Source organism: Homo sapiens, chromosome X (genome assembly GCF_000001405.40).
Source record: "Homo sapiens chromosome X, GRCh38.p14 Primary Assembly".
Lineage (NCBI taxonomy): Eukaryota > Metazoa > Chordata > Mammalia > Primates > Hominidae > Homo > Homo sapiens.
In genome coordinates, this window is record NC_000023.11 from 72050061 (window position 1) to 72064826 (window position 14766).

Genomic DNA, 14766 nt, shown 5'->3' on the forward strand with positions numbered 1-14766 from the left:
CTCCTCTCTCTCCCTCCAGAAGGCCTCGTGGTACTTAGACACCCTGCAGGGATGAACTGTTTCTCACATGGGGAACATATGTGTAAATTTTGCTCTCCAAGTGCCTTTGCATCCGGGTCTGGCAAGAGTTCCAAATCATTGTTCTCCACCTTGGATCCACTTTCGTGTACTATTTATTGTTTTTTTGACTGACAGCCAGCAAAGGCGGGTAGGGGCAAGGGTGGCAATGAGCCCAGGCTCTGAAACATAGCATTTATTAGGAGCTGTGGGGTCATTTTTCCTGTTATTTTTCTTGATTGTGGCTGTGTTGTCCTTCAGTAAGTGTCTGTAGGCTTCTATTTGCTAGATGAGGTAGTGGCCGGCTCTGTCTCTTTCATTCCTCCCCTTTTTTCCTTTTTTCTTTTTTGCTTAAAAAACACTAAGGAAAAATGTCAGAAGATAATGTAGCAAATGCCTATGATAAACATGCATATGAACCACCCAAAATGAACAAATGTTAACATTTGCGTCATGTTTGCCAGCAACTTTTTCTAGCAAAAGAAAACATTACAGTCCAGGCCTGGTGGCTCATGCCTATAATCCCAGCACTTTGGGAGCCTGAGGTGAGTGGATCACTTGAGGTGAGGAGTTTGAAACCAGCCTGGCCAATATAGCGAAACCCTGTCTCTACTAAAATACAAAAGTTAGGTGTGGTGTCACACGCCTGTAATCCCAGCTACTCAGGAGGCTGAGGCAGGAGAATTGCTTGAACCCGGGAGGCAGAGATTGCAGTGAGCTGAGGTTGCGTCACTGTACTCCAGCCTGGGTGACAGAGCAAGACTCCATCTATCAAAAAAAAAAAAACAAAACAAAAACCAAACCAAACCAAAACCACGTTACAGATGCCACCGACGTCCCTGCATTCTCCTCCTCAGTCCTATTTTTTATTGTCTGGGCTGTGATGCAAATCCAGGCTATGTTTATGCATCCATAAATGGTATGTACTATTTGGTTTTGCACTTTTAAAATTTGTCATAAGTGCTATTATACTACATGAAGTAACTCTAAAATGTGCTTTCTTCACTCAGTGTTATGTTTTTTGGTATCTGTCCCTTTTACACCCATAGATGTAGTTTGTTCATGTTAACTGCTATATAGTATTCCATCAGATGAATAATAAAATTGATTTCTTAATCCACTACTGATAGACACTTAGATTATTTCTATTTTTTACCATTACCAACTATGTTACAATGAACATTCTTGTAGATATTTCCCCATGCATGTACAGAAATTTTCAGTTGTATGTACCTAGAAAGAAGTCAAATTGCTGAGTTGAGGGGTATCTGTAGATATTGCAAAATCGCTCTTTCAGATGGCTATACCGATGCACAGTTCTGCCAGAAATATCTGAGAGAATCTGTTTCTCTACAGCCCCATCAACATTTCACCCTAGGCCCTCCCACTCTGTTCTCACAGTGACCGAGTTTCCTAGACACTGTCATACCAGGTGATCATCTCCTATCCAGCCCTCCTTCCTCTTGCTTCTCCTACCTCACTGCCAGATCAACCCTATTTAAGGTTTCCTTCTCCACAACATGTTCCCGATCTACTCCTCTGGCTGGAATTTAAGGCCCTCCACAGATGGATCCAGGCAACCTTTCCAACATCATCTCCTGCTGCCTGCCCTCAGCACACACTCAGGAAGTCTTTGGTTCCTCCAGATTCTTCCACTTGCGGGTCTCTCTCCAACATGTCCCCACCTGTTGCCTGCACACCTCTGGTCCTGCCACCATTCTCTACACCTAGTCTCAGTGTTCACTTCCACCTAGGAAAACCTCATTCATTTCTCACAACTTGCCTCAATGACAGCTTTCTTGGAAGCCTCTCCAGATAACTCCAGGCAGAGTCCCCCTCTCAGCTCCCACTGTACTTTATATAGCATTTATTTCTCTATTATAGTATTTATCCCAGCAGCTTATACAAATCAGACATAAAGCCTCTTGACTCTTTTGCTTGGAAAGTAAGTGTAACCAAAATGGATCTCGTTTTCCTTTGTTGCTTAGAATTCCTTCAACAAACTAAACAAATGTGTATTACATACCTACTCTGCACTAGGTGCTGAGTGGTGGCTGAGCCAGATGAGGCTCCTGGCTTTGTGGCACTTCCAATGTGATGGGGTGAAGGGTGACATGCGTGGTTATCATCCTCTGAGAAAGTTGCCCTCCTCAGTCCTCCGAGGCACACCTGTCTGACTGGATGCTCAATTCCTAGTTTCTGTCCCCAGTGCCTGGCACCAACTAGGGGCCTCAGGGCGAGCTTGCTTGCATGGCAGGTCGGGCATTAAAAGTCTTGGACAGTTGAAGGAGGAGAACCATATTTCAGATAAGTCACAGAGGTGCCAAGAGGCCAGGAGCCTGTGACCTTCAGGCCAACCGCCCTGGGAGTTGCCTGGGAGGCCACATGATTTCTGGAACAAGGCAAAGGGTCTCAACTGAAAGAGATGGGCTTGGGGATGAGGGAGGAGATGGAGTAAGGACCTGGCTACATTGCAGTCCTCCCCATTCCTTCCTCTTCCAGTCCAGCTTCCCCCATGTCCCTCTCATTCCTCCAGGAGCACACGACACTCTCGCCTGGTCTATCCAACTTAGGCTGACCACCCTGGTGGTTTTTAAATGAGTCATCTTCCTGTGTTTGGGAAGGGAAGACCCCCTCCAGGTTGCAAATGAAAAGGGTAGGTGGGGGCCTCTCCTGAGCCATCCCTCTCTCCACCCCTTTCTTCACCCTCTGCTCCCCCCAGCCCCTCTGTAGACATTCTCTGGCCAAGCTGCTAACAGAAAAGGAGGATTTTCTGTGTTACTAATATGTTAACGGTGCAGCTGTGACTCAGCCCTCATGCCCTCTGTAGAAGGAGGCTTGATTTCCATTTGCAAAAGGCAATAGGGATCTGATGAGAGTCTTTCCTGTGTGGAAACATTTCCTGCTCTTGCCCAGTCGGATTGGCACCTTATTTAAACAGCCATAACAATACATCCTAAATTGGGTAAGGGAAATGGAAAACAATGTTGAGAAGAACATAATGACCAGAATTGAATGTGAGCCTTGCCTCGTTAGGATTTGAGTGCAGCAAACCAGGAATTAGGAGCCTTCTCTCTGGTCTAATCAGCTGCTTCACCCCGCGCACCCCAGGCTTCTCAGCCATTTCTTCTGAGAAGTTAGGGGGCCCATCCTCTCACTGGATTCTTGCGACAGTCGCCTGACCAGTTTGCCTGTCTCCATTCTCTCCACCTCCAATCTTCTCCATTCTGGGGACAGGACGCTCCATAACTCCTTATGACCTCTGGCACAGTTTCCTAGAACTGTGTAAACTCCACCACACTAATTGAAATGCCTTCAAGAGGTACAGATGAACTTTTCTTTTTACTTGAATGCTTGCATATTTATTTTTCTATATATGAGAGAAAAGTATAACCAGCATACCTGTGAAATCCATGATTTCACAGAGATATTATTGCTGAGAATGAGGCTGAAGTTCAGAATCGTAGACTGGCAGAACAGAAAAGGGCCCGAGGGATCATCTCGCCATGCACATGTCTTTGCCTTCAGTTCCAATTTTTGTATGCTGTCTGACTACATCTCTGCGTGCTGACCTCCTACCCAACCTTCAAAGCCCATCTCAAAAGCTGCTTCTTTCATAAGTTACATGTTGTCTCTCCCAATAGACTGGGAACTGTTTGTAATACGCTCCTCATTTTGGGGTCCACTCCTCCACCCCCATCTCATTCCCAGCACATAATTGGCCTCAAGCAATGTTTGTGGAAGAAATTAATACTCCTACCATCTACAGCAACACAGAATAAGTCTGCTTCTCCTTCCCAGAACCTGAGCTTGGGATAGACACTCACAGCGAGCTCCTTGGTGGGGTCTCAAAGAGAGTGGGTGAGTTCCTTGAAGGCTGCTTGGAACCAAGGACTCCACCTAAGGACTTGGCCATCATGAAGAGAACCTCACAACTCTTCAACAAGGCCTCACTGAACACCTGCTTACTCTGGGCCAGCTCTGCTGTAGGTGCCAGGGATACTCCATAGCCCTCTCTTCCAAGGAGATGCTGCAACGCTTTCTCTGCCATACTCCTCTGTCTACACTGTGTGGGTGGGAAGTAGAGCCTTCCTGCTTGCATATGTCAATGACAGGTTCCAGTACTATTTTGACAGGTTGTTCCAAAATGATTGCTTTTTGATTGGTGCAGTAAGCTTTAGGAAACCCCCCAATCTCCACTCCCATCTCTCCAGTGCAATAAGCAGAACATTTTCAAACTCTTCCCTGGGCCACTTTAGCTGTTGTCTGAGCTGATCCGCATTCTGTCGTTCTTAATAGCTTCCCTTTCAGAGAATGACATGCTCTTCTGGACTCTTTCTCTCTCTTCTGAAATAGAGTTGGTTTTTTCTTGATTAGAAAAGTAAAATATGTGTGTCTGTTTACTTATTGGTAAAGAGTTTGTTACTTAAAGCTCTTTATATAGTAAAGATATTAACCCTTTTCTGTCCTATGCTGCAAATATCTTTTTCTTTCCCAATTTGCTATTTTCTCTTTGATTTTTGGTTTGTTGTGCTTTGGGATGTGCTAACATTTTTTTAAATGATGCTGCCAAATATGTTGACATTTTCCTTTGTGATTTTAATGCTTAGAAAGTCTTGCCTCCTCCCAGACCAAATAAATACTCATCTATATTCTCCCCAAGTGGCGAGGATGACATTCATCGACCTCACCCCATTTGAGTTCTTTTGGGATCCCCTTTTCTAGCCTCCATGATGCCCCTCCCCCTGCAGTTAGCACAATTTTTCTTCAGTTGAGGCACAAAGCAGTCATTAGGCTGGAGCTTTAAATATGCTAATGAGATCACCCTTTCCCCCGTCACTCTTTCAGCCCCTTTGTAAAAGGACAGCTTGGGGTGGATCCCTTTGCCTGTTGTCCCGTCTCCCGCTTCCTAACCCCCTTCTTTAGCAAGCGGGGAGAGAAAGAGAAAAAGGAAAGTGCTAACTAACTTCAAGTATTGGAGGCTACCTAGATGTCACTCCATTTCCAGTGTACACTTTTCACCTCTCCTCAGCAACTACATTTTCAGTTAGGTCCGAATCCAGAGCTCCCAGTTAATGGAAAGTCCCTGCGCATCTAAACACTCAGACTTGAGCAAAGTCACGCAGCCAACAGCCCGAGTTCCCCAGCAACCGCCAGGCCGGGCTTGCTGCATCTTCTCCATCACTGGCACGGTTGCCATGGGAACGCGAGCGCTAAATTACTTTGCGTGTTTGGAAGCTGAAGACCTCAGCTTTGACGCATGTAGCCCAGAAATCGATTGACCTCCAATTAGGTTTTTGTTGTTTTCTTGAGGCATCTTTCTGTTTGTGTCTTGCCTATGCCTCTTGAGGACTGTGTTGGAGGGAGATCTGAGCATTTAGCTTAATTTTTGTAAAAAATTATTTCCACCTTGACTTATTCCAAAAAGGGTTTAAGGTGGCTTATAAGATACATCCTATACTTGGAGAGAACCTAAATTAGATGTAAGGGAGGAAGATGAGGCAGAGAGAAAACAAGGGTAACTTGTGAAGAAGTCGTGATAGAAAGTGAATTTCAGGAAGTCCCCTCTTGATAAATGTGGGTCCCAAATTTGACTTTAACCTTTCATGGCAGATAACAAAAAGGGAGGTATGATCAGTTATAAGATTCATAGATAAAAGCAAATCAACTGCTTAACAGAAACGCAAATGTTCCGAACCTTGAGACTAAAAATCTACTTCTTTACTGGAGATTCTAAAAAAGATGTCACCTTTTTAGTCCTATCACCTAGCATATTACTTGAACAGATGAAAGCATATTCTAACCTTGGTAGGTGGTTTCTTTTATCAAAACTTTCCACTTTTGTTATTGTTGTTGTTAAATAAGTAAATTGCTTTTTTTGTAATGGCAAAATAGAAAAAAATCGTGTAAATAACCATGGAATACTATGCAGCCTTTAAAATTTTTTACGGAATTATTACCACCTAGATTTGGCCACCATTAACCCTTTTTTTAAAAGCGGACATTTTCCCATGTAAATCAGTACCTCCTTTCTGCAGGACAGTTGGGCAATATGTTTCAAAAGGCCTAAAAATGTATACATCCTTTGATGTGGCAATTCTACTCTTAGAAATGCATACTAAGGGAATAATCAAACGAGTGCTAGAGATGCATGTACAAAGATGTGCATCAAAACATTGGTTATGATGTAAAGAGAAAGGGAGAAAATTCTGTGTTCCCTACAGTAGGTGACTGGTTATGTAAACTATGGAGCATCCATATAGTGGGGCATTATGCAGCTGTTGAAAACAAAGATGGAAGTGTCTATTTACCAACAGGCCTCCTAGACTATATCAAGCCTCACCAATATACTCTCTCAGCACCCTGTACCCTTTATTCATTGCAGTTGTTATTGCTTCATAATATATGTATTTGTGTGCTTATTTAACGTCTGCGCACACACACACACACACACACACACACGCTCACACACAGACTGGCATGTCCATGAGGATGGAAACTAAGCCTGTTTTACTCCTTATTGGTATCCCAAGTACCTTGGTATGTAATAGATAATAAATATTATATTTGTTGACCAATGGACTGGCTGAAGAAATGAATGAAAAATCAAGGCCACCAGGCATTCAATTCTTCAATTTCCCTCCCATCCATCCCAGACTTCCCTCAATCTCCAGCTGAGCCATCAGTGCTGCCTACAAATACTTTTACTTTTGTCTGGTCTCTATGGCAGCTGCTTTACGCCTTCCCTGGCTCTTGAGGCCGGACTACCTACCATCTCCTACTTTTAGACGATGATATCATCTCTTACTTCCCAGAGAAATTGGGAGCCAGCAAGTATGGAGTCCTTCAGTGCCCTTCCCTACCAGGGCCTGATTCTGTGAACTTCAGACACCAGGAGGCCATTGGGAACCCAGGCTGGAGCACGTTGGGTAGATTGCTAGAAGGCAAAGCCAGACATCCCTGCCCACTTCTCTCTGTGAACCTCTCTCTCTAGCAATCCCCTTTCTTTCTGCCATCAAGCCTCTTGAAAAGGTACTTTATTTTCTGCCTCCCATTCATTCTGTCCTTGTTTGCATTCAAGGGCACAGTTAAGTATACTGTTGTGCACACCATTATCTATCCATGCAAGGTCCTTAAATTTTTTTATCTTATTTTTCCTTTCATCTCTAATCTCCACTCCCAGTTCCTCTTTAATGGTTTGATACATGCTGTTGGAAATGTCTTTGAAAATTACATAGTGTTTTCTGTGTTTATGTGCTTTTAATTTACATAAATAGTATTGATCCATAGATCATATTCTGTTTCTTTTTTCCCTCAACCCTCTGTTTTGAGGCCTTTCGGTGCTGCTATGTGCACATCTCGTTGATCACTTCTGTCTGACTTGGCACTCATCCACCACATTTTACTTCTCCCTTCCTCTGAGACTGTACATCTTGGTTCTGCCAACTGTCCATGACCACAAATAATGCTGCAATGAACCTTCCTCGACTTGCTCCTAGGGACCTGGGCAAGAATTTCTCTAAACCAGAGATTTTCAGAGTACAATTCACAGACCCCTCAGAGTTTCTGAGACTCTTTTGGAGGATGCTCAAGGTCAGAGCTGTTTCTACGATAACACTAGGACACTATTTGCCTTTTTCATGAGGTTGATTTTTGCACCATTTGCAAAACTGTTGCCACCTTAGTGTGAATCAAGGCAGTGGCACCAGCCTGTACTAGCAGTCATTGTATTTTGTATTTTTCACCACTACATACTCAGAAAAAGGGGGGAAAAGCCACCAATCTTACTGAAAAGTAGCTTAGATAAAGCAGTAAGAAATGGCAATTTTTATTAAATCTCAAGCCTGGAGTTGATGTCTTTTTAATATCCTGTGTGATGAAACAGGAAGAACACAGAAAGCACTTCTGCTGCATGCTGAGTGAGATGGTTGTCTAGAGAAGAGCACTGTGCAATTGTTTGAGGTGTGAGCTCAACAGGCCTCCTTTTTCCTGGAACGTCATTTTCACTTGAAAGAACAATTGACAGGTAAACTATGGTTAGTCAGACTTGAGTATTTGGTGGACATTTTTCTCAAAGATGAACAAAATGAGCCTGTTGCTTCAAGGAAAACAGCTCACAGTATTTGTTACCAAAGATAAAACTTGAACTTTCAAGTGAAAAACAGAATTTTAGAAAACTTGTTTCTGGCACCAGGGGCTTGACAGCTTCCCAGTTCTTTTTTTTTAAATTGTTATTAATTTTTTTTGAGATGGAGTCTCACTCTGTCACCAGGCTGGAGTGCAGTGATGCAATCTCGGCTCACTGCAACCTCCGCCTTCCCGATTCAAGCGATTCTCCTGCCTCAGCGTCCCGAGTAGCTGGGATTACAGGCACGCGCCACCACGCCCAGCTAATTTTTGTATTTTTCATAGAGACGGGGTTTCCCCTTGTTGGCCAGGATGGTCTCGATCTATTGACCTCATGATCCACCCATCTCGGCATCCCAAAGTGCTGGGATTATAGGCGTGAGCCACCGTGCCCGGCCAGCTTCCCAGTTCTTAAAGGCTTTCTCTGCCTGCCCCTTAACTCTTTATGATCTGTTAGGATTCTCCAGTTCCTTGTCCAGAAAATCCTCATTGTAAAGGACACCAGGATTGCTACCTGACCTGGCTTGCTAAGGCCCTATGCATGAGAGTGGACACTGTCTTTGTCCATCACATTGCAGGAGTGATTTGGTCTGCATGTCAGGGAGCTGCACAAATGTTGGACTACTGCACAGGAAGGCTGCCATTGCAGAGCAAGGCAGAGACACAGAGTTGTGACACAGAGTTTCAACATCAGTGCTCCCTGTTCTTCCCATTCTCCCCACTCAGACTGGACCATCTCACCTGCTTTTTGGCTTCATATACTTCCAAGACCTTGTGACTGCTCCATTTGTATTTATTTCCAGCTCTGAGCTCTGGATCACATATCTTTACCACCCTCTAGACACACAAACTGTGTCCCAGGCAAGCTCTCTCCTCCTCATCCCTGCACCTGCTGGTTTTCCAGGGTTCTCTAACTTAAGGAATGGCACCACCCATTCTATCTCCATATCACCACCATGGTCTATTCTCCCTGTCTGGCCCCACCGCTCCACCCTGAGGCAAGCCTTCATCATGTCTCATCTGGGCCCCTTCCAGAGCCTCCTAACTGGTGTCCCGGCCCCTCTCCAATCAGCCTTCCACATTGCAGCCACCCTACTGATCTTCAGGTCACTCCCTTGCCCAAAGCTTCTGTGGCTCACTATCACCTTCAAGATAAAATCCACACCCATTCTCATGACATTTAAGGCCTCCCTGGTCTAGTTCCAACTACCTCATCTTCTACCTGGCTATACCAGATCACTTATTTTTCTTCCCAAATACGAGAAACCCTCATACCTTTATGCTGTTGCTCAAAACGTCCTCTTTGCCTAGAATGTCCTCTCTCCAAACCTCATTTTACTGGCAAATGTTGCTTCATTCTTTTCGAGTTCGACATCACCTTTTCTTGATGCCCTTCCCTTCCTCTGAGGGAAGGAATTCAGTTCTGGGTGCTGACAACTGGCAATGAATGGATGGCTGGGGAGTGAAAGGGGATTGCATCAAATGATGGCTGGGGTGGTTGAGGTTGCAGAATTTGAGCTGATCCCTAAAAGGAATAATCTTAATGATAACTAACATTTACTGAGCACTTGCTATGCACCAGACCTTGCTCTATGCACTTTCTATGCATTCTCTTTCAGTCTCATTCTCTAGCAACCCCAAACTCACTGTATCCTCACTTTAGAGATGAAAAAACTGAGGGCCAGGGTTCTATCAGCGGTTATGAAGCTTTACTGAGGGGCGGCTTGGTGATCTGCAGCAGAACACTTTCTTACCATAAATAGCAGAGTAGGGATAGCATCTAGAATCACTTGCAATTATGTCTGTCTTTCACACAAAGGGGAAAAAAGTGCATTTGACCTCAGAAGCATGAGGCCATGTGGTGAAGCACAAAGACTAGTCTTTGAAGTCCATCTAGCTGTGTGACCTTGAGCCAATTTCCTGATCTCTCTGAGCTTCAGTTTCCTAAAGTGCGAATTGAGGATAGTAATAGCTCCATTGCAGGTTTGTGGTGCAGATGAGCTATGAGGAATGCCAAAGAATCCAGCATGGTGTTAGGTACATAGAGGGGCTCTGTCAACATCAATTCATTTTTCTCCCTCCCCAGTGTCTAAGGAAAGAAGTGTAGTATGGTGAAACTCACACTACCTCAGAAGTCAAAGGAGTTGTGGTTTGACTCTGGCACTAGTAAGGCTGTGCAACCCTCAGCAAGTTACTTGCCCTCTCTGGGCTTTGGTTTCTTCCTATACTTGTAACATAAAGAAGTTTTGTTTTACAGCAGTTGGGTGTTTCCATTTTCTGTCATTGAATTGGGAAAATGATCAGGTCATGCCAACCTGGGATGCTGCGTGTTGTGGAAGTTAGGCATATCTGACAACGGGAAATACTTCCTGAAGACACAGCCTTCGGACCCCTGGTTACCTAGAAGGGAGCTCAGGACTCCTCATCGACAAACATAAAACCAGCTCCCTGCCCACTGCCCAACCTCCAGGAGATGCCCCCACAGGCTTGTGTGAGCCCAAGGCAGGCCTCAAGCTGATTCAAGGGCCCAGCTGCCCGTTGCCATGGCAACATTCCAGCTCGCTTTGCATAGTGACAGGGATGCTAGGCTTTGCTAACAAAGTGCTCTGTAAAGGACTTCATGTCTTTGGCAGGGACAATTCCGCCTTCTTTTTCACATGAATAACTCTGGGGGCTGTGAGGAGGGATTTGGCAAGTCACTTCCCCTGTCTTGGCCTGCGCCCTTGGGTTTTCCTTGAAGGCACAAGTTGGCAGCTTTTTATTTTTCTATTTCCAAATATACCATCACTACCCTCCTCCTGACCACTCCCCACTCCAAAGGAAAGAATGGTTTTTCCCTTACTTAGAGCTCTGGTGAACTCGGTGTGTTTATGAAAATGGAAGGAATGGACTGTTCGAATCACTCACATACCCTTGGCTGATTGCTGGATCAAATTGTCCTCAATCCCTTTTTCTTTTTTCGGAATGCCCAATGTTTTTCAGGATTGAAACAGGAAGACCCTATATTGTCCTGGTGAATTACTCCCTGGAGCAGGAAACATATTTGGAATCCTGAGTAGGCTGGGAAGGAAGCCAGGCAGACCTGGGTGAATCCTGCTTTCATCACTTACAAGCTGTGTGATCTTTGGCAAGTTACTTAACTTCCCCTAATCTCAGTTTTCTCATACGTGCAATGGGGATGGTAATACAGCCTTCATGGGTATGATGGTGAAATTGTTATGAGGTTTAAATATATCTTATGCTTGCCTGCTTCTCTCTGTTTCCGTCACCCTGATCCTGGCCCATCATCTTTTGCCTGGACTACTACGATAGCCTCCTGCCCATTTCTACTGGAACTTCCCTCCAGCCCTTTGTTTACATAGCAGACATGGTGGTCTTTTAAACATTTAAATCATATCCTGTCGCTCCCTTGCTTAAAATGCTCTAATGGTTTCCCATTGCACTTCAGATAACATCCACCTCTTACCCCCTACCTCTTCCACCCTAGACATGCTGGCTTCCTTTCCATTTCTCAAAGACATCGAGGTCCCTCTCACTTCGTGGCCTCATGGCCTTGGCACTTTCTGTTCCCTCTGCCAGCTCCTTCTCAGGCTCAGTTCTTAGCTCGGAGAGAACTTCTCTTACCACTCATCCAAACTAGCTCCCCATGCCTGCCCCATCCCTTGCCATCACACATCACCATGCTGATTTCCTTCATGGCACTTCTCAGGAACTAGTCCTACCTTGATTATTCGTGTACTTGGTTATTGTCTGTCTCCTCTGCCTGGATTGTAAACTCTTTACATCTGCCTCATTAACCTCTATCACCCACTGCCCAGCACAGGGCCTAATATAATAGGCTCAATAAAATCTATTGAATGAATGAATGAGGTAGGTAGAGCATTGAGAACAAAGCCTGAAAGATAATAGAGTGCAATACATGTTTGTTACTTTCTTTTTGTCTTCTTCCATCATCTGGTTGTAAGGCAGAGGGTGGTGTGCTAGACCTGTGGCCTCCAAAGTGGATATATCGTCTATTAGGGTGCAAGGAGAAAATATTAGAATTTCTATTAACAGTCATCTTTATCATATCCTAATTTCCATGTTTGTTTATGTTTTAAATTTTATAAAACTGATTAGCACAGTAGTACATATATATGGTTTATACATAAATATGTATATATGGGAGTATAGGCTCAAAAATACTTGGAGACCACAGCTGGTGGGAAGCAAACTGGCAGACTGTTGGCAGAATGTGAACTACAGATAGGTTGGGTTGAGTCAGCAGAGAGGTTTCCCAGATTGGAGGTTGAGTGCCTTGGGAACAGGGTTGGGGGTGGCCAGCATGCATGCTCCAGGTCTCCACCACACCCTGTGGCTTACCCTAGCCTACTTCATTCATGGCCCTGTCCTTCCTGACCATTACAGGCGTGTGCATTTCCAACCCTAGAGAGGGTTTCCTTTGCAAGTCTAGAGAACCTTCTATTCTGGAAATTGGTGCTGGTCGATCCCAAGGGGGAGGTATGTGGGAAAGACTGAGGCCTAGGAGCCCCCTGTGGGCAGCAGCTGGGGCTTCTCATTCTTGTGTCCTCTGTAACCAGAATAGTACCTGGAACAGAGTGGGTGCTTGGATCATCAGAGAACCTGCTTGTTGACTAATATCAGTGCATAGGACAACCCCCTCTGAGTGTCTGAGCTGAGAGGACCCTCAGGAGGTAATTAGGTTCATATGTTTCACTGTCCGGATGGAAACTAAATGGGGCTCAAAATGGCCAGGGCCTGCCCAAGGTCATAGAGCCTCCCGCCAGCACTCTTTCCCTTGTGTCTGCGTCTCTGCTTAGCCTCTGGGGTGTATGCTTATTCACGATCCAGGCCTTGGCTGGTTCCACCCCCTTGGCCTTGGCCTACTACTCTTAACACCAGCTCTCAGAAGGCGTTCTGGCTTCTTACTGGGATAGGGGCCAAAAAAGAAAAACATTTCCCAAATCATAATTCTACAGCCTCCTGCCTCCCCCAAACTCACTTTCTATGTAACTAATCCCCGTGTTCCTTGGCCATTAATGACATCACTGCCTTTCTGGTCACTTTGGCCCAAAATACAAAGTGTTCTACCTCCCTTGAGTAGGGGCTACTATGTGTCAGGCACTTTCTAAAAAATAAACTTTGTATGGGCAATTAACATACAAAAAAGCCACACACGTTGATGAATGATCACAAATTATACACACCCATGTACACACTTCCAAGGCCAAGAAGTTGACCATGCCCAGGACTACAGAAGTAACCCCTCAAAGCAGTTTTTAACCATCACTGCAGATCTTTTGTCCAGCAGCCTTGAGGAAGGTATGAGTAATTCAATCCAATTCACAGATACCAAATTATTTTTCTTTAAACCAACTCATTCCATTCTGCCTCGAATAGTCAAGAAATTACTTTTCATGCACTCAATTTTCCCCTGTAATTTTTATTAGAATCTAGTATACATTAGAATAAATATGTGACTGTTAAACTTTAAAAGATCATCCATGTATTTCTAAAATTCCTCATCATACTATCACCTCACATACCACTAGCACAATGTGTACTGCATTTGGGGGAATACTGTACCGTGGGAATTAACTCAAGGGGAAGACTATTTACGTTTGGGAAGATCAGAAAAGGCTCAAGATGGACCTGAGATCTGTAGAGAGGATATGGCTATGCAGAGGTGAAGTCGATTCTGGCTGTCAGGCTCAGAGAAAGCTTCATGGGGGAGGAGACATTTGGGCTGGGTCTTGAGAAATAAGTCTGACTTTTCACAAGCAGAGATGGAAGTGGAAGGAAAAGCATTCTAGGCAGAAGGAATAGAACCTAGAGAACACTTCATCAGGGCTAGAAGAGAAGTTTATGTTTCAGGCTTGAGGGACTGTGCCTGATGTGCAGTTGGAAAGTGTCTCCGGGCCCAGGGTTGAGTGAGTTTGCTCTCTTGGGGCACACAACACACAAGCACTATGAGGGGTAGCCGCTGGCAGGCTACAGCCCACTGGAGTCAGAGTCAGAGTGTGTATTAGAATTCACTTTTCCTTATGGAACTTGCACCTGGAAATTCCCCACACCAGATTAGAGCATGTGCAGGTTATGGCAGATGGGATCAGCAGAATGAAAAGGAGACAGGCTTGGAGTCAGCCTAACTTGGGTTCAAGTCCCAACCCTGCCACTTACTAGCTCCATTTTTTTATCTAATGTCTGTCTCCGCATCTTCAGCTTAGGTCCTAATAATCCACACCTGACAGGGTGGTTGTGAGGAGTAAGAGCATGACTAAAGTGACAGGGGTAGTTCTTGTCCCAGCTCTTGGGTTCCGGGGGGCAGTCCAGAGATAGTACCACCTGCCGCACTTCCCTGTCCACCCACTTTGACATCCCTGAGTACAGAGGGGTACAGCCAGTGAGGTGGTAATGATGAACCTTAAGCTGTTTCACTTTGGGGACATGGGCCCCTGAGTTGCTTCTTTCGGGCCTCAGACTTCTCTGTCTCCTCCCCTGGTGTGCCTAAGGCACCAAGTAGGGTGGGGGACCAGCCAAATGGTGAGGCCTGGCCCTCCCTCTCTCTTTGATAGAACTGGG

The 14766-nt window shown here is 45.0% G+C and overlaps 1 protein-coding gene across 9 annotated transcripts in view, besides 1 other annotated feature; it reads left to right on the forward strand.

Annotated features, from left to right (window-relative positions):
• The window catches only part of NHSL2 (NHS like 2), a 242442-nt gene that overhangs the window by 139216 nt on the left and 88460 nt on the right, over positions 1 to 14766 (forward strand). The gene's annotated exons all lie outside the window — the stretch shown is intronic.
• Positions 10559 to 10853: a silencer, noted in NCBI's record as "tiled region #1584; HepG2 Repressive non-DNase unmatched - State 24:Quies, and K562 Repressive non-DNase unmatched - State 10:DNaseD". NCBI's record gives its function as "represses a minimal TATA promoter and a strong SV40 promoter by Sharpr-MPRA in HepG2 cells, with weak repression in K562 cells {active_cell/tissue: HepG2 | K562}" and the evidence as "EXISTENCE:reporter gene assay evidence [ECO:0000049][PMID:27701403]".